Source organism: Homo sapiens, chromosome 9, assembly GCF_000001405.40.
Source record: "Homo sapiens chromosome 9, GRCh38.p14 Primary Assembly".
Lineage (NCBI taxonomy): Eukaryota > Metazoa > Chordata > Mammalia > Primates > Hominidae > Homo > Homo sapiens.
The window spans coordinates 5,832,200-5,851,287 of record NC_000009.12 but is presented as its reverse complement, the minus strand read 5'-3'; the positions used below and the strand labels follow the sequence as shown (position 1 = coordinate 5,851,287).

General features: G+C 45.0%; 1 protein-coding gene across 6 annotated transcripts in view, besides 9 other annotated features; it reads left to right on the top strand.

The window, feature by feature from the left end:
* ERMP1 (endoplasmic reticulum metallopeptidase 1) overlaps nt 1-19,088 on the top strand; it is an 82,520-nt gene that overhangs the window by 15,804 nt on the left and 47,628 nt on the right. For 4 of the 6 annotated variants that reach the window (NM_001410952.1, NM_024896.3, XM_047423897.1 and 1 more), the window contains exon 1: nt 18,171-18,598. The exons of 1 other annotated variant lie outside the window; for it this stretch is intronic. In NM_001410952.1, the coding sequence (NP_001397881.1) occupies nt 18,261-18,598 (338 nt within the window). In that variant the 5' untranslated portion in view covers nt 18,171-18,260. Of the gene's footprint in view, nt 1-18,170; nt 18,599-19,088 lie in introns of those variants that run through there. One more of the 6 variants, XM_047423898.1, reaches the window with a different exon arrangement.
* Nucleotides 6,406-6,525: an enhancer, noted in NCBI's record as "active region_28179". NCBI's record gives its function as "activates an Ori minimal core promoter by ATAC-STARR-seq in GM12878 lymphoblastoid cells {active_cell/tissue: GM12878}" and the evidence as "EXISTENCE:reporter gene assay evidence [ECO:0000049][PMID:35858748]".
* Nucleotides 6,656-6,775: an enhancer, noted in NCBI's record as "active region_28178". NCBI's record gives its function as "activates an Ori minimal core promoter by ATAC-STARR-seq in GM12878 lymphoblastoid cells {active_cell/tissue: GM12878}" and the evidence as "EXISTENCE:reporter gene assay evidence [ECO:0000049][PMID:35858748]".
* Nucleotides 9,384-9,533: an enhancer, noted in NCBI's record as "active region_28177". NCBI's record gives its function as "activates an Ori minimal core promoter by ATAC-STARR-seq in GM12878 lymphoblastoid cells {active_cell/tissue: GM12878}" and the evidence as "EXISTENCE:reporter gene assay evidence [ECO:0000049][PMID:35858748]".
* Nucleotides 11,506-12,095: a transcriptional cis regulatory region, noted in NCBI's record as "candidate enhancer chr9.120 targeted for multiplex CRISPR interference". NCBI's record gives its function as "positively regulates ERMP1 gene expression with high confidence in K562 cells {active_cell/tissue: K562}" and the evidence as "EXISTENCE:mutant phenotype evidence [ECO:0000015][PMID:30612741]".
* Nucleotides 11,705-11,999: an enhancer, noted in NCBI's record as "tiled region #2314; HepG2 Activating DNase matched - State 5:Enh, and K562 Activating DNase unmatched - State 5:Enh". NCBI's record gives its function as "activates a minimal TATA promoter and a strong SV40 promoter by Sharpr-MPRA in HepG2 and K562 cells {active_cell/tissue: HepG2 | K562}" and the evidence as "EXISTENCE:reporter gene assay evidence [ECO:0000049][PMID:27701403]".
* Nucleotides 11,738-11,882: an enhancer, noted in NCBI's record as "145 bp enhancer 261/262 fragment used in the MPRA reporter construct; PK_construct_3116". NCBI's record gives its function as "activates an SV40 promoter by MPRA in HepG2 cells {active_cell/tissue: HepG2}" and the evidence as "EXISTENCE:reporter gene assay evidence [ECO:0000049][PMID:23512712]".
* Nucleotides 11,815-11,825: a transcriptional cis regulatory region, noted in NCBI's record as "NFE2L2 motif; MPRA enhancer 261/262 activity is reduced when this motif is scrambled". NCBI's record gives its function as "necessary for full MPRA enhancer 261/262 activity {active_cell/tissue: HepG2}" and the evidence as "EXISTENCE:site-directed mutagenesis evidence [ECO:0005528][PMID:23512712]".
* Nucleotides 18,085-18,304: a silencer, noted in NCBI's record as "silent region_19756". NCBI's record gives its function as "represses an Ori minimal core promoter by ATAC-STARR-seq in GM12878 lymphoblastoid cells {active_cell/tissue: GM12878}" and the evidence as "EXISTENCE:reporter gene assay evidence [ECO:0000049][PMID:35858748]".
* Nucleotides 18,385-18,604: a silencer, noted in NCBI's record as "silent region_19755". NCBI's record gives its function as "represses an Ori minimal core promoter by ATAC-STARR-seq in GM12878 lymphoblastoid cells {active_cell/tissue: GM12878}" and the evidence as "EXISTENCE:reporter gene assay evidence [ECO:0000049][PMID:35858748]".

The following is a 19,088-nucleotide window of genomic DNA, read 5'->3' as shown; positions in this document are numbered from 1 at the left end:
AATAAGGTATAGCAAATGTATGCCATAAGGTGCTGTATGACTGCTAAAGGTGTGCCTCAGATTTGGCTCTGAGCTTCCTAGTAGATAGAGAAAAGAGAAGAACAAATCAATTACAAGATGCACTATGTTCACAAATTGGAAACATCTTGGAGGCTTTGCTTGATACCAGCACAGCATAGAGATGTTGGGCCTAAAAGGGCTAACATCTTCAGATTTTGTTCTGAAGGGTCTAAAAGAGGGAACACAGTGTGAGATCTTTGGGAATAAGTCAAGGGAGGATGTCAGGGCATGGGCAGTTCCTGGATGGGGGATTGAATTGAGGGTGAGGTAACTGATCAAAGCTCTGGAGTTTTCAAAGGATGCAACCTTGTTCCTCATTCATTCTCTATTCTTCAGAGTCCTGCCCTACCTCCTCAGAGCTTGCAAGCTAGGACATGGCCAGAAGGCTAGGGTAGAATTACAGGGTGGCTGCCCTTTCAGGTATAGCATTTGGTACCACTGTTCACAATGGCCATGGGTTTCCAACTCTGACTGCACATTAGAATCATTTGAGCCATTTTCCAAAATTATACAATTGCCTGGCACCATCCAAATTAACTGAATACTGGGATTGGGCCCAGGATTTTTTGTTGTTGTTGTTTTTGGGTTTTTCTGATGCTTCATCTAGTTCTTATGTAGAGTGAGAGTAGAGAACCACTGACAGTGAGCATTTTCAGAGGTTTACGAACTTCACGGTATCTCAGAGTCACAGGAGGAACTTGTTAAACATTCAGTTTCCTCAGCCACATGCTCCCTCCCAATTCCCCCAACCACCCCAGAAGGCCAGGGAATTTTCTATTTCTTTTTTTCTTCTTCTTCTTTTTTTTTTTTTTTTTTTTTTTTGAGACGGAGTTTCATTCTCGTCGCCCAGGCTGGAGTGCAATGGTGCGATCTTGGCTCACTGCAACTTTCACCTCCCAGGTTCAAGCAGTTCTCCTGCCTCAGCCTCCAAAGTAGCTGGGATTATAGGTGCCTGCCACCATGCCCAACTAATTTTTGTATTTTTCGTAGAGATGGGTTTCACCATGTTGGCCAGGCTGGTCTCGAGGAATTCTCTATTTCTAGCAAGCACTCAGGGTAATTCTGATGCCGATGATCCACAGAGTCACACTAGTCCACAGAGTGTAAAGGGGGGGAGACCTGGGCCCTGGCCTGCTCTGATAACAGCAGGCTGTGTGACCTTTTGGGCCTATTCCTTAAACACTCTGGGTTTGTTTCCTGATTGGTAAGAAATAACCTGTGGTGCCTACACTGCAAGGCCACGATTGAAATCCACAATCCCACCATGGATATGATTCTGTGTTCATTAATTTCGAGTCTGCTTGCTAAGAGCAATAAGGCATGTGTGAGTTTGGGGCATGGGTGGAAGAGTGCCCTTTGGCCTAGATTTTACTGTCTTGTGTCAAGATTTGGGTAGATTTATATGTGATCCAACTGGTAGGTAGCTAAACTTACCACTGCTAGCACAGGCTCTTCTATAAGAACCAAACATGCCAAAAGTGTGCTAGAACAGAGTAATTTATTTTAATAACACATGTGGCTCTGAAATAAACTTGTTATAACAGCATGGGTTTTATTAACCAAGAATCACAGGACAACTTATTGAAGTGAGGATATCACTTGGTGATCTGAGTCTACAAATACCACCTTCTGAACAGTGACCAAACCATGACTTTGTTTATGGGAAATGTCCAATTAGTGTACACAGAACCACACCAAGTGGTGTGGGAAGAGAGATGAAGGAAGTGGGCATAGCAAGGAGCTGGGGTTGGGTTCGGGCTCTAATCCTGGCCAGGACCCCCTGTCTGCTTTGGCTAAGTCAGTTCTCCTCCCCCGGACCAGGTTGCTCATCTGTAAAATGAAGGTGCTAGATTAGTATCTGTAGGATCCCTTCTCTCCCCTACAGGCTGTAAAAATCAAACTAACTGGGCCAGACGCAGTGGCTCATGCCTGTAATCCCAGCATTTTGGGAGGCCAAGTTGGGCAGATCACGAGGTCAAGAGATTGAGACCCTCCTGGCCAACATGGTGAAACCCTGTCTCTACTAAAAATACAAAAATTAGCTGGGTGTGGTGGCACATGCCTATAGTCCCAGCTACTCGGGAAGCCCAGTCAGGAGGCTTGGTTGAACTCAGGAGGCAGAGGTTGCAGTGAGCCAAGATCGTGCCACTGCACTCCAGCCTGGCGACAGAGCAAGACTCCATCTAAAATAAAAATAAAAATATAAATATAAATAAAAATAAAAATAATCAAACTAACTGTAAAACTAAAGTACAAAGTGGCTTCTCCACTTGGTTTCCTCAGCTAGGTCAGAACCCCCATCTAACCATAGTAAGCCACATAGGTCCCTCCTCTTTCAAGTAGCCACCTGCACTCAAACCAACACCCCTGTGAACCAGTCCTCACCCACTCACTCTTTTAGAAAGGTGATATTCAACTAGCCTCACTAATAATTTCCAGCACAAATAAACTTTGCAGTCTCTATGTTGCAGTCCCTATGAAACCCAAATTCTAGCTACAAACAACCTTCAAACAAGAGGCATTTTTCAGGGTGGAGGTAGAGAGAGGTCATTTAACTCAGTGGTAAGCATTCAAGCTCTGAACATTAAAAAATAATTAGTTCCCTAAATCCTTGTAGAAAACCAGAAATGGCTAGCCATGACCTGTAAATGAATTATTGACAAAACCACTGAGACTTCTTTTCTTTCTGCCACTCCTTGTATCTGGATGTGTATTAGCTTCCTATGGCTGCTCTAAGAAATTGTTGCAAACTTAGGGACCTAGAACAATACGAATGTATTATCTGACAGTTCTGGAGTTTGGAAGTCTGAAATGGCTCGGCAGAGCTGTGTTTGTTCTGAGGGTTCTAGGCGCAGATCCACGTCCCTGCTTTTTCCAGCTGCAGGAGGCTGTCTGCATCTCGTGGCCACTCCGACCTCCTCCATTATCTTGTCTCCTTCTCTTACTCTCCTACTTCCCGCTTTCCTTCATAAAGATCCATGTGTTTACATCAGGCCCACCCAGATAACTGGGATAATCTCCCCATCTCAAGGTCCTTAAGTTAATCACATTTGAAAGTCCCTTTGCCAAGTAAAGGAATACGTTCAAAGGTCTTGTGGATTAGGATGTGGACATCTTGAGGGGGCTGTTTTTCTGCCTACCACACAGACTCATCTTCAGATCCCACCTCAGCCATTTAGTGTCTGTATGACCTTCAGTAAATGATATCCTTTCTCTAAGCCTCAGTTTTCCATTGATAAAACCAGGATAATAATAAACCCATCTTACGGGGTTTGTTTTGTTCTGATTTTTTTGATTTGGGTTTTTTTTTTTTTCCTGTCTTTTTTATTTTTTTAGACGGAGTCTCGCTCTGTCGCCCGGGCTGGAGTACAGCGGTGCCATCTCGACTCACTGCAAGCTCCGCCTCCTGGGTTCACGCCATTCTCCTGCCTCAGCCTCCCGAGTAGCTGGGACTACAGGCGCCTGCCACCACGCCCGGCTAATTTTTTGTATTTGTAGTAGACACAGGGTTTTACCGTGTTAGCCAGGATGGTCTCGATCTCTTGACCTCATGATCCGCCCGCCTTGGCCTCCCAAAGTGCCGGGATTACAGGTGTGAGCCACTGCGCCTGGCCGATTTTGTTTTGTTTTGTACATGTTATTCCTAAGAGAAGGAACAAAATTGGGGTTTTAGTGAAAAAGCCATCTGGGGGTCAGGTGCAGTAGCTCACACCTGTAATCCCAGCACTTTGGGAGGCCGAGGCAGGTGATCACTTGAGCTCAGGAGGTGAAGACCAGCCTGGGCAACATGGTGAAACTCCTTCTCTACTAAAAATACAAAAATTAGCTGGGTGTGGTGACATGCCCCTGTGGTCCTAGCTACTTGGAGGGCTGAGGCGGGAGGATCGTTTGAGCCCAGGAGGCAGAGGAGCAGACTGCACTACAGCCTGGACAACAGAATGAGGCTGGGCCTGTTTATAGTCATCCACATCGAGCATCACAATCAGTGATGATATTTGGGTTGATAACATAGATGCAAAATTCTAATCTTCAAAACACATTGAGTAATTGTAAGAATTGAAAAAAACAAAGCCCATATTTTCTAGATCTAACAGTGAGTTAAACAGCAAATTCAATTTACTGGCGTCTCTTCCCTCCATCCCCTGGGCATTCTTTGTAGCTGAGGGCTGCCTATGGGCTGCTGAGCATTGGTGCTGAGAGGATGCAGGAGAGAATATGCTGAATCTGGTTGGGGGAGGCCATCGCACCCCTGTGGGAAACCTGAAGGAAATGGTCTCTGTCTGCCATAAATCTCTGCAGCATACCCATTCAGAGTTTCCTAATTAAAGGGCGTCCAGTTCCATGCTGAACAGGAAAATCAACTATTCTGCTTGGGTCAAAGCGGAATGTGATATAACTCAAATAGAACGGGGAAATGTCCATAAACACAAACAAGTCCTCCATCCTTTCAGAAAGGAATAACCACCCCATAAAACAGGTGATTAATGTTGAACCACAGGGATAGCAAAGTACCTGAGCTATGGACCAGTTGCAAAGGCTTTGAAGCATGATGAAATAAATATGAACTCTTCCCCTTCACACCCACGGGAGTAAGTGCTTGCCCAATCCTTTGGGAAATGTAGTTAGATGTGATAATCACACATACATGAGTGAAACCATGCAAGGTTCCCAAGAGGAATCTATCTGACATAATCACAGGTTACATTGCAAAGTACTTTGGCAGCTACAAACAGCTTCCCCATACTTATATCATTTAATTTTCAGGGTAACCCTGTGAAATGGCCAAGGGAGGTTTTAATATCTCTGTTTTTACAGATGAGGAAACAGCCTCAGAGGGATGAAATGACTTCCTTAAGGTCACACAGCAAATTAGTAGCAGAGCTAGGATTTGAGCCCAGATCTGTGGGCCACTGGGTGGGTGGCGGGGGAGGGGTCTTGCTCTACTTTTGGCAGGCTTCCAGTAAGACTGTCCATCTGGTGCCTTAATAGTGACATGGATGCAGGCTGCTTTTGCTTGCTGTCCCTGGCCTTGCCTCTGGCCTTACCTTTAAGCTGTCCCTAGCTCCCAGAATATTTACCATCTTGCTTCACAAAGTGTGGTTACCTAGTGAGGTAAAGCACAGCATGAACATGAGCAGGGGCTGTGTTAGGGGTGCAGAATCCACCCCACCCAACCTCTCCAGACCCAGATCCCCAGGTAGCACCTAAGCACAAACAAGTTCAAGAAGCACTGACTGGCCACATTTGCCCATCCAGGCCTGCCTGACACTCCAAAGTGGCTTCTTCTCTGCCCTTCTCCCTGACCCAAACACTCCGAGGGCCTGAACAACAGTTACACTAATTGCCTCCCTCCTGGAACTTCCCCTTACACCTGTCCATGGTTCTGTGGCCTCAAAAATACTCCTCAGGCCTACTGAGTTCTCCTCAGTCTCCTCACAAAAATACCCAAAGAGCCCTTAGCAAGGCGTGCTCTCCTGAGGCAAGAGTTGACTCCACTGTCTGCTCTAAGAGGGCACCCTACAACCTCTCTTTGGTGTGATCAAGGAGAACCAATTTGAGTGGTTTCTTTTCTTCACTAGAGAATCTGTGGCAGAAATAACAAAAGACACTGGTAGCAAATGGAAGGGAGTGATGAGGTGGAGTGCAGTTAATCCACAGGCTGGAAGAACTCCAGATAATCTATCGATCGATCAATCAATCAATCAATCAGGAGTTAGTTTTGTGAAAGAAAAAGAGAAGATAACTTGAATAAGTTATTCTCTCTCTCTCTTCATCCTCCTCCCCACTCCCTCAAACTTTAAGAAAGTTACTTTTAATATTATTATTATTTTGAAATGGGGTCTTGCTATGTTGCCCAGGCTGGTCTTGAACTCCTGGTTTCAAGTGATCCTCCCGCCTTGGCCTCCCAAGTAGCTGGGATTATAGGCACAAGCAAAAACACCTGACAAGAAACTTCCTTTTAAGAGCACAGATAATTTGTCAAATCCTCTCAGAGTCACAGGTCAGGGGCATTAAAACTTTAAGAAGAAACAATGATTTATAAAAAAATTAAACCACCACCACCACAACAACAAAAAAAAAAAACACTGAAAGTTTCCCAATGGAAACAAAAACAAAACACGATGATTCAAGTTTTAGGCTCGACAAATGCAAGTTTAAGTTTCAAAGGCCCTATACTGCCCCAAGGAAGAGCTGGCGGGGGTGGGGGGACATTTTCCCCTGTTCGCTTTGGCAGGAAACCAAGCTAAACTACCAGAGGGGCCAGGACACATCCTGCCCTCTGAAGAAAACCACAAGGCTGACATGCTCAAAGCAGCCATAATTTTTGGTAGACCAGTTGGGAAGAATGTGGTATTTGTTGACTTTTGTTTCTGTAGCAGATGGTGACTTTAGAAGACCTGAGGTTCACAACCAGAAAACTTGACTGTCAACTGGAAATATATTTATGGTTTCCTGCAAGGCTGATAAAGTTGAAAAATCCACCCATATATAAACAAAAAGGGGATGAGGAGGGGTGCAGGAGGTATGCCCAGGCTTCTTCCAGAGGAGTTCCTGCTCTTCTGACCAAGCGGCTCCTTGACAGTTCTCCGCAAAGGTGACGGCAGAAGTTTCTCTTTAGTTCTCACAAAGATTGACTGTAATCTTCTCTGCTAGGGCCAGGCGTGGTGGCTCACGCCTGTAATCCCAGCACTTTGGGAGGCCAAGGAGGGTGGGTCACTTGAGCCTAGGGGTTTGAGACCAGCCTGGAAACATGGCAAAACACCATCTCTACTAAAAATACAAAAATTAGCCAGGCATGGTGGTACATGCCTATAATAAGAGCTACTCAGAAGGCTGAGGCACAAGAATCACTTGAACCTGGGAGACAGAGGTTGCAGTGAACTGAAATCGCATCACTGCACTATAGTCTGGGGTGACAGAGCAAGACTCTGTCTTGAAACAAACGAACAAACAAACAAAAAAACACAAAATCTTCTCTGCTAGGCAGCCTGTGGCTACTTGGCCACTTACATCTGAGTCTGGGCAGAAAGAGCTGGAAGGCTGCAGGAAGGAAGTCTCAGGATGTAGGATGTTAGTGTTTTCCAGGACAGGGTGTCTAATTTTAAGAGGAAAGATTTTTTTCCTTACCCCTGGTAAGGAAATGTATGTTTGATTGTAGGTCTGACTGAGATTCTTCTCCCGGAAATGCCATCATACTTCACAGAACATTACCCCTCAAATTAAGTCTGTGCCGGTATTGGCCAGGGGGTGGAGGAGTGCTCGTTATTTTCCATAGCCACGGTTCCAGGATGCACTGCTCTTCCCATCCTTCCTCCCCCCAGGACACACAAGAAGAGTAAATACAGCTGCATATCCCCAGGCTTGGTCTAAAATCCAGGAGGGCTGTAACTCTGCCTTTGAGTTTTACAACCCCGGTGTGTGCAACACTGTCCGTGGTAGGGGATGGGGATGAGAGAGAAGACTCCATTTCAGAACATTTGTTGTAGCAGAGATCTTCGGCTCTGCATCAGCAAAAACTTCAGAAAGCGTTCTGCTACTTATTCACTGTTCCTGCAAAATAAACAAAGCAGTGGCTAGAAGCGGGGAGGGGGGCATTTGACAAGACTGACCTCTCAACTAAGAAGGAGAGAAGAAAGAGACTTGACTGGCTAGCTACATCTGATACATTCTAGCACTATAAACTTTCCCCCAAATCTGGAGATAAGAATCTCATGAATAACCTGATCCCCACTCAGGGAAATATTTTATCTTTAATCAAGTATGTCCTTGAGGGCTTAAAGGTGAGGGCTCAGAGGCTTCAAACTGGCAGCAGGTGGGTGGAATCCAGTTTACACACCTATTTTCTTTGGCACACAAAATGTTCTTCTCTTTTTAAATTTGTTTCCAACATTAACAGAGCAGAAGGTTTCACATAAATATCTGAGTTTCTGTCATTTCTTGAAAAAATAGCAGATTTGGCTGTGCTGAGCCCCAAATTCCGCAGAGCTATGGTTACTGTTACTGATTTAGGTGGAGCCAGGGTTCTAGTTCACGCCAGTCCTTACCACTCCTTCTAACCTTAACCTGACCTGTTTTATTCTATCACCTTATCTGCCCATGTCAGGAAATGGTTGGTAAATGCTCTTTTCTGTTCCCTAAATAAGTCCCAATTACCTTGCTGACATAATAGCACTTTTGAATAACAAGTCTGTTTGTCACTTGGCTTTTTGTATCTGAATCTCTTAATTTGGGCTCACAACTTTGTGGAGCTTCTTAAAGATTAGCCTTATCTCTGGCTAGGATATTAGAATCATGAAGGAATCTGAGAGGGAAAAGGCTTTTAAAACTTTAGGCTATGAATTAAGCGATTTCCTTAGCCTTTTCTAAAGAATCAGCATCTCTGCTACAGATCTGTTTATTGATTTTCTTTAAAAAACGGAGATCAGAAATCCTGATTTAGTACTTTGAATTGCTTGGAAGTAAGAGGCTACTGAAATCCAAGGCACTTATTATCATCACAATTTATAACAGCAACAGAGTAGCAAATGGCTTACTGAAAGTGAACTTGGGGAGGCATTTGTCTCTGGAATTAAGACTTCTTTTTATAGTCTACTTGCTACAGTCAGCTGTGAATAATATACAATTAATAAGTTTGTTTCTGATTGAGGTGAAATTTACATAATATAAAATTGTTTTAAAAGTGAACAACTTTGTGGCATTTAGTACTTTATAATGTTGTGCAAACCACAGCTATCTAGTTCCAAAACATTTTCTTTTTTTCTTTTTTCTTTTCTTTCTTTTTTTTTTTTTTTTGAGACAGTCTCGTTCTGCCTGTCACCCAGGCTGGAGTGCAGTTGAGAGGTGAAGCCGGTTGGGCTTCTGGGTCTGGTGGGGACTTGGAGAACTTCTCTGTCTAGCTAAAGGATTGTAAACACACCAACCAGTGCTCTGTGTCTAGCTAAAGATTTGTAAATGCACCAATCATCACTCTGTAAAAACGGACCAATCAGCACTCTGTAAAATGGACCAATCAGCAGGATGTGGGCGGGGCCAAGTAAGGGAATAAAAGCTGGCCACCCCAGCCAGCAGCTGCAACCTGCTCCAGTCCCCTTGCACTGTGTGGAGGCTTTGTTCTTTCTGTTTTCACAATAAATCTTGCTGCTGCTCACTCTTTGGGTCCGCACTACCTTTATATGCTGTAACGCTCACTGTGAAGGTCTGTGTCTGCAGCTTTACTCCTGAAGTCAGCAAGACCATGAACCCACCAGGAGGAAAAAACAACTCCGGATGCGCCACCTTTAAGAGCTGTAACACTCACTGCGAAGATATGTGGTTTCACTCCTGAAGTCAAGTGAGACCACAAACCCACCACAAGGAAGAAACTCCAGACACACCATCTTTAAGAACTGTCACACTCACCGCGAGGGTCCACAGCTTCATTCTTGAAGTCAGCGAGACCAAGAACTCACCTGAAGGAACCAGTTCCGGACACACATTGGCGCAATCTTGGCTCACTGCAGCCTCTGCCTCCCGGGTTCAAGTGATTCTTGTGCCTCAGCCTCCTGAGTAGCTGGGATTACAGGCACGTGCCACCATGCCCAGCTGCATGTTTTAGTGGAGACAGGTTTCACTATGTTGGCGAGGCTGGTCTTGATCTCCTGACCTCAAGTGATCCACTGGCCTCAGCCTCCCAAAGTGTTGGGATTACAGGTATGAGCCACCACACCTGGCCCCAAAACATTTTCTTCACCCAGAAAGGAAACCCCATACCTTTTAAGCAGTTGATTCCATTCTCGCCTCTGCCCTGTCCGTTCTAACCACCAACCTGTGTTCTGCCTCTATGCAGTTACCTATTCTGGATATTTTAAATGAGTGGAATCAGATAATATGTGACCTGCTGTGTCTGGTGTCTTCCACTTAGCACAATGTTTTCAAGGCTCATCCCATTATAGTACGTATCAGTACTTCATTCCTTTTTGTAGCTGAATCATATTGTGAACAAGTTTTTATAATTTTTTAAAAATAGAGAACCTATTCTTGGTACTTCTGGCTTTCTGCTTATGGATTGCTAATGTACCAAGGGGAACTAAAGACTTGAGATGAGAAAGGATAACAGGTTTTTTTACACCGCCTTTCACAAGAAGGAACTAATAAAGAGGTACATACCTGCAAGGGTATGAATGTTACATTCCTACGGGTAGGGAGAGCAGAACAGTAACACTTAACAATTAAAAAGTTGCCCTTTAAGTAAAATATAAATCAAGTTCGCCTCAGGCTCATGTGACAAGTTGCCTTTCATCAACTTTAAATTAGGTTGCTATGAAAGAACTTGGCTAAGCATTTTCTATTGCCTTTCATCCACCTAGCCAACTACAGAGCAGAGGAGTGATTGGCCTCTGTAATGCCATGCAAATGAAGGTTTTAATGCCATGCAAATGAAGGTTCCAACCACAGAATAATAGCAACAGCTGGCACAGGTCTCCTGATCTAGGGCCTCAGGACAACCCTATTAACCCCACTTCTCAGATGAAGAAACGGGCATAACAAAATTAAGTCATTCGTTGGAGGATACACCGCAGGTTACAGAAGAACATACTGGAGTGCTTTCAGCGCAGCACCCATGCTCTGAACTGCGGCATCGTACTGCCTCTTGCATCCCTATTTTCCAATGTGGTGTGGCAAGGTGCTATGCAGTCTTTCTGGCCCTGGGGGCCGGGGAGGGGCAGTGGGCATGGGTAGGGAGGGAGAAGATGGCAGTGCAGACCTGACATTCATAAAGCTGCAGGAGGGGTGATCTGGCCCAGGATCATCACAGTTGGCCTACATCCTTCTTGGACATGTGAACCCTTGGCTATGGCATGATTTACCATTTTAGCTTATGTAGGAATCACAGATTACAGGATCCTACCTCTAGAGTTGGATGCAGTAGACTCTCCCTCCCTCCCAACCTTCCTCCCTTCCTCCCTTCCTTCCGTTCTCTCTTCTCTCTCTCTCTTTCTTTCTTTTTTGACGAAGTCTCACTCTGTCACCCAGGCTGGAATGCAGTGGTGTCATCACAGCTCGCTGCAATCTCAGCTTCCCAGGTTCGAGTGATTCTCCTGCCTCAGCCTCTTGAGTAGCTGGAATTACAGGCCTGCGCCACCACGCCTGGTTAATTTCTGTATTTTTAGTAGAGACGGGGTTTCACCATGTTGGCCAGGTTGGTCACAAACTCCTGACCTCAAGTGATTCGCCCACCTCAGCCTCCCAAAGTGCTGAGATTACAGGCGTGAGCCACCGTGCCCGGCCTAGACTTTCTGCTTATGGATTGCTAATGTACCAAGTAGGTGGGTAGGACACAGGAGGATGATTTTTTTAGCAAGTCCTCATGTGATTCTCATATTACATGGTCCTCAGACCACACTTTGAGAGATATTTGCCATTTTCCTACAAGATCCATTGTTGTCTCTTTTCTCCTTTGGGCATCTTGGAAAGCAGCAGCTGCAGAGGCTATTTTAGGCCAGTAAAGACCTGAAGAAGGTCATGCAGCCCGAAAGCCAAGTGAAACCGTTCCAGGACACAGCCTGCAAGAGGGCTTCAGGGGGCTGCAGGAGGAGATAGCTACGTAGAGGGGGGCTCAGGAAGTGCTGGGGGTCTCCAGGTGCGCACACCTAGATGTGCTGAGCTCTGGCAATGTAAACTCTCATTAATGTTTTAGTTCACTAAAACAATCGAGTTTCAGCATGGAGCAAATTCACATGAGTCAGTGACTCTCATTCCCAAACTGCTGAGTCACCTCCTGTGTCCTAACTCACCTGCCACTGCAGCCCAGTGGAGAAAGTCAAACAGAGCCCTGGGTGTGTGACCCTCAAATAAATCCCTAGAGACTTCCGGGTTCATGGGTTCTTCTCCTATTGTATGAGGAATGTGCTATGAAGGAGGGAAAAGTAAATTCAAAATCCAAAGCCATTAAAAAGTATATGCACCAATTCTTCTCCCAGGTCACAGACTGAATTTAAAGAACAATGATTAAGTGAAAATTCTCTCAGTTTTTTTTAATTGGTTCAGCAATTGATTAATTACTGAATCTTGACCCTAAACTTTTTAGTCTAGAAATGTGCTTGAGGAATACAGGCTGGAGATCAGCTTTTTGACATTGCATTCCCCTCCTGGATCACATCCATGTTGGAATCAATTTATAAACTGCCTTCCTAAGGCTTAAAATGATGGTGATCTACAGACAAGTGCCTTCCTAGGCACAGGGTTGCTGGAGACTGATGCCAGGCCCATGGCTCTTAAAGGGAACACTGAACTCATGGCAGAAATGGTGGAAAGTAGAGAAATGAATAGAGGGGGAAAATCACCCAGAGATAACCACTGTTATTGCTTTAGTGTTCTTTCCTTTCTTTTATTTACTATTCACTAGTATATTCTTATCTATTTCCATTTTGTGTCTTTTTTTTTTGTTTCTCTTAATATTTATAATGTGAGCATTTCCCTCACGTTATTAAACAGACTTTGGTAAAGTTGTGTTTAATAATATATGACGTTCCAAACTCTGAATGTACTATAATTTATTTAACTCTTATTTTTATATGCTTAAGTCATTTCCATATATTTGATTTTTACAGATGAGTATCCTTTTGCATTTTTTGAAATCACACCTTTGATAGATGTCTACATATGAAATTACTACATCAAAAACCATGAATTCTTCTTCTTCTTCTTTTTTTTTTTTGATACAGGGTTTTGCCCTGTCGCCCAGGCTGGAGTGCAGTGGCGCTATGGCAGCCTTGACCTCCTGGAAGCGATCCTCTCACCTCAGTCTCCCTAGTAGACGGGAGTATAGACATGCACCACCACACCCAGCTAATTTTTTTGGTATTTTTTGTAGAGATGGGGTCTTGCTATGTTGCCCAGGCTGGTCTCAAACTCCTGGACTCAAGTGATTCACCCCCCTCGACCTTCCGAAGTGCTGGAGTTATAGGCATGAGCTACTGCACCCTGCCTGTGAATTCTTTTAAGGCTCCTGGTACATCTTCCATAATTGCTTTCCAGAAAGGTCTTTTCAATATGTAGTCCTCCAGCATCACACAAAAGTGCCTAGAAATAAAATGTTTGCCAAATGTGCATATTATAATTTTAAAAAATAGCTTTTTTCTTTTTTTTTGGAGACACAGTCTCGTTCTATAATCCAGGCTGGAGGGCAGTGCGTGATGTTGGCTCACTGCAAGTCCTGGCCCATGTGCCTTTTGGAATGCCCTTTCTTGCCTCCCACCTCAGCCTCCTGAGTACAGGTGCATGCCACCACACTCAGCTAATATTTTTAGTAGAGATGGGGTTTTACCATGTTTCCCAGGCTGCTCTCGAATTCCTGGCCTCAAGTTATCTGCCTGCCTCAGCCTCCCAAAGTGCTGGGATTATAGGCTGAGCTACTGTGCCCAGTGAAAAAATGCTTTTTCAATGTGATAAAAATGGTCCACATTTTCACATGCATTCCTTTGCTACAAAAAGTGAATGGTTTACATGTTTTTCTATTGAGGCGTTGATATTTTTCTTACCGATTTTTGTGCACGCATGCATATACACACACACACGAACAGAAAGAGTGAGAAAGAATAATGTATATAACACATATTATCCCCTTTTTGAAAAACGTTTTTTGAAAATCATGTCCTCCATTTGTCATTTGACTTTTCATCTTTTTGGTGACTGTTTTTGATGTATAGAAGTTTTTAATTTTGTGTAGCCAATATGTGATTTTTCCCTTTATGATATCTTCCACTTGTCTTTTGATTAAAGAGTCCTTGTACTTTTGAGTCTTGATTATTATAAATATTTAATTATATTCATCTTATTTTTGTACTAGTTAAAAAGTTGTTGATATTTGATTCTGAATTGTACTTGAATATTGTGGGTGTGTGTGGATGTGTGTGTAATATGGTATGAGGTTCTAATTTGATTTTTTTCCCCTAAAGAACCAATTGGCCAGGTGCAGTGGCACACCTATAGTACCAGTTACTTGGGAGGCTAAGGCAGCAGTATTGCTTGAGGTCAGGAGTTCAAGTCCAGCCTAGGCAACATAGTTAGAACCTGTCTCTAAAAAAAGAGAAAATAACCAATCGTCTCAACCCCATTTGTTTCAGAAAGGCTTTTAAGATGAATATAGAGTATTCCAGAATCAGAGAATCTCTTTTCTACTAGGCCATGGAAAAAAGGTAAACTGACATAGTGGCTTCAGCTAGCAATGCAGCCAGGCTTGTTCTCTAACTTCTCTGTGCCTACCTAGATACAGGGACGTAGAAAACACAGGGGACCAGCCCAGAATTTGAGGGGGGGTTAAAAGTAGAGTGCAATTACCCTCTCCCTAGGCTCCAAGGCCCGTTAAGCTCATGGGGGTAGAAAAGCTCTGAAGATTTACAGATCTGGCTCATGTGCCTTTTAGAATGCCCTTTCTTGCCAGCACTGTCAGCCCCCAGGTTTCCTGGCTTGTTGGAGGTGATCCGTGGAGCTGACCATTGTCACCAGTTCCTGAATGTTCCATTTCAGAGCTTCAGAGTTGGAAAGATCAATTGTCCAACAGCACCCTGACGCCCAAGCTTTAGCCTTAAGGGATCTAAACAAACAAACAAACAAAAACCTAAAAAAACTGATGGTGTACCCTGAACCTTTAAACAAAGCTGGTTCACTCTCATACCACCTCAGTGAGCACAGAAAACCAAGCTATCCGCAACAGCACCTAGCTACATTTACCCATAAACTCTTCCACGTTTGGAATCCTTGCACTTGGTTTTGACTTGCTCTGCCTGTCAGCTTTTGACAACTGCTTCTTTTTTCTGCAACTGGTTTGGGCTCACTTCTCATCTCTTGGCTTGGTACCTCACCTGATTTGAATGTCACTGTAACATCATGTAAAAGGCATCCTTCTGCTAGCCTGAGCCTCAGAGAACTTCACCAGATACACTGGTAGCCTCTCTTCCAAGGAAGAAAGTACACAGGCTATGGTTTTCTTCTACGGCAAATTGGCTATGGAATGACCTGTGGGGAAGACAGAAACTGGCAGTTCACCTGAATCCTGACAGCTCATATGTCCTTCCACTTACCTTGGCCAAACTACTAGGAAATACTGAAAAGATGGCAAGACAGAAGGGACATGGGACATCTCTATGTCTGTCAGTCAGTTTAGCTCTTACTTTGTCATAAAGGGAGACACAAGCATAACTGCCTGCCAAGTCAGATGAGTTGACTCAACCCCATGATCAATAGCTCACCAGACGGGGCAGCCACAACCTTTCACATTTATCTGTTCCTCATCCTTATCAGGGATTTGATATGTGAGAACTAGAGCATGTGTTCCAATTCACTGTGGTCTACTTTTAACACAAATAAAATTATAGATCAAACTGGCTTTGAACACTTCAAAGACCAGACATTATCAAAGTGTTTTATAAGCCTATATGTTCTAGATGTGGTCACTGTGCTGCTCTGCCTGGGATGGAGACTGAGTGATCTTATATAACATCACCTAAAGCATGACCTTTCACTGCTCAAAACCACCCCAGAGTCCTCACCAGGGCCAGGAGGCCTTCCTTGCACTGGCTCCTACCCACCTCTGTCACCTCACATCTACCAGGGCTCCTGGCTCAGTCTGCTTTAGTGCATGCCTTATTCGACGTTGCCTCTGAACATCCCAGCTCACTTTCCTCTGCTGGAACATTCTCTCCCCAGGCTTATGTGGCCCTGTTCCTCACTTCATTCAGGTCACCTCAAATGTCATCTTCTCAGAGAGACTGTGAGACCATCTCTGATCACCCTAATAAAACAGCAGCTTTTGTCAGTCTCAATTTCCCTGCTTTATTTTTCTTTATGGCACTTAACTCTCTGACATTTTATACACACACACACATGCGCGCGCGCGTTCATTGTCTCTTTGTTAGAATGTAAGCTCTCTGAAGGTAGAAACATTGATTTGTTCTTCTCTGTTTCTCCACCTTAATCAGTATCTGACACAAGTAGATATCCAACAACTAGTAGCTAAAAATATTCAAACGTGAATACCGTAGACTATACAAGTATAGAGAAAAACTGCCTTTCAGGAACTCAGCTGTAACTTAACTCCTACCACCTAGAGTTCTATGATTATCATGATAGGAAAGTAGCTTTTAATCTAATCTACAAAGGATTTCATGAGAAGGAAAATTCTGAAAAATAGTTTTTAATGAGAATCTTATGTGAGGATCTTTCACACACACACACACACACACACACACACACACACACACACACACACATCTATCTATCCATCTATCATCTGTCTATCTATCTAATCCTCACTGAAGCCCCTTAAGGCAGGTATCATCTGCATTACCACAGATAAATACACGTGGACTCTGTGAGATTGTAACTTGAATAATGCCATGTGTACTAAAGGTACCAGATCCAGGAACTCAGATCTACCCGTCCCCAACAGCCAGGCAGCCAGGCATTTCCCTATTATGGTACCATGGGATATTGTCAGACATACACACACACACACACACACACACACACACACACACACACACATATATACATACATATAGTTATGACCATGGGCTAGGCTCTTATCCAGAGCTAAGCACTATGGATACAGTGATGATTAAATAAGATAGACACTGTCTTTAGTCTCATAGTGCTTACAGACTGAAAGGGATCTTGTAGAGCTAAAATTATGCTTGCTGCCACAAAAGTGGTATGTTTTCATTTTTTCATTCACTCAAGAAATATCTATTGACTACATACTATGTGTCATGCTTTGTGTTAAGAGCAAGGAATAAAATGGTGAGTAAAACCAGACCTGATTCCTGCCTTCGTGGGGCTTACAGTCTAATGAGGAAGTTATGAAATAGTCACATGCAAACATGGTGCTGTGAGATCCTACAAATAGGGGAAGCAAGCTTAATTAAATTAGGAGATTCTTGCTTGAGGAAGTACCACTTAATCTGAGATTTAAAGGATAACTAGGAGTTAAAAAGACAATGAGGAGAGAGAAGAACACTCCAGGTAATTCAAACAGCATGTGAGAAGATCCTATTGTAGAAGGAAAGATGCGTGCAGGAAGTCTTTGAAAGAGGCCAGTGTGGCTGGAGAGCTGGAAATAAGAAGCATCCTGGTGTCAGAGGAGCCTGAGAGGTGGGCAAGAGCAGGACTATAGGGCATTGTATGAAATCTGACATATGTGCTAAGTCAAAATCCGGCAGTGTGCTCTCCCAGTTGGTCTCTAGGTTAATGCTCATGCTAATGTAGCAACTCCAAGCTAGGGACAAAAAACCTTGGAGCAGAGAGGCTCATGGGTACCGGCAAGCTGGAAGAAGACTAGATAATCACTAGGATCTGCACTGAAACCAAGGCTCTGCTGCTTAACCGCCCCAGAGAGTCGTCAAGTGAAGAATGGCCTTTCTGAACCTTCACTTGCAGAGTGCTAATGTAGTAGTGGAACAGAATGCTGTTTTGGGAGCCCATGAAATTAGATTTACATTCTTCATCTGTTATCTCTACGTTTCTCAGGTTATAAAATGGGAACAAAGATATTTCCTTTTAAGTATTGTTAAAGATAATTAAATAAGATGATGTATTAAAGGACTTGACCTAGCGCTTAGCTCATAGCAGGTATTCAATAAATAATAGCCATTATTTTTCTTTATCTGTTAAATGGAGACAGTAATAGCACAGATTAAGTTGCTGAGTTATGAAGATCTGATTAGATTATGCATGTGAAAGCAATAGGCCGGGCCTCCTCTGCGTAATCTTATTTCTAATTTTAAGAGCCAGGAACCCACTTTTTTGGAGCCTGATGTTCTAATATTCCTTCCTTACGAAAGCCAGGTCATTGCTTTTTTCATCTGCCTGATGCACTGTAAGAGCCTTGTGTGTTCTTTCAAAAGCGATCTCTCATTTTTCTCGTTTTGGGTTTTTAGGTGTCTTTACATTTGGCAATCTCCGTCCTACAGAGGGCTGGAAAAGCCCTGCGGGAGACGGCATATCCACCACCCGCTGCTGGGTCGGCCCTGCAGCTGTGTGCACCCGAGAACTGCCAAAGAAGCTGGGTCTTGGCGCGGCGGGACGGGCCAATCAGAAGAAGTTTGGCCCTCTGCAGTTTCCGTCCGCTCACTAGGAGGCGCTGCGGCAGCGACGGCGGCGTCGGCGGCGGCCGGGGCTGTCGCGGGTTGGGGCGGTTGGGCTGGCAGCTGAGGCTCGTGGCCATGGAGTGGGGTTCTGAGTCGGCTGCTGTGAGGCGGCACCGCGTCGGAGTAGAGCGTCGAGAGGGAGCGGCGGCCGCGCCACCGCCGGAGAGGGAGGCCCGAGCGCAGGAGCCTCTGGTGGATGGGTGCAGCGGCGGCGGGAGGACGCGGAAGAGGAGCCCCGGGGGTAGCGGCGGCGCGAGCAGGGGCGCGGGGACCGGGCTGTCTGAGGTGCGCGCCGCGCTGGGGCTCGCGCTCTACCTGATCGCGCTGCGGACGCTGGTGCAGCTCTCGCTGCAGCAGCTCGTGCTACGCGGGGCCGCTGGACACCGCGGGGAGTTCGACGCGCTCCAAGCCAGGTACCGGCCGCTCCCTCCTGGCACGGCCCGCGCGTCCGTTTGCGGCTCCTGCGCAGGCTCCGGGGCACCGCACCTGTGTGCACCCGCCCCTGCCGGACCGCTGGGACTCGCTGACCCCTCCCAGGCTGCACGTGGGGTGGGGTGACCTTGCTTGTCCTTCTTCTGGGGTCTGAATTGCCGGGACTTGGGGCTTGCCTGTCCCCGGTTAAGCTCGTGGTGCAGATTGGGGTTGCCAGGTAGATTGAACCTGCTTTCCACTGTCTGCCCTTCGTGCAGATGGTTGGTTGTGAGTCGTCTCCCCATATTCTGGAACAGCTTCCCCTTTTTACCTTGCTTAGCCCTTCTGCTTTCCAGATGGAAATTTGTGTACCTAGACTGTTGTATAAATTCGCTTTGGGGGCGGGGAGTTTTGGAAGGCGCTAGTGCACTGTTCTAACTTTCTGAGGGTTACAGCCCCCACATCTGAAGGCTATAGAAACTCTTTCTGGAA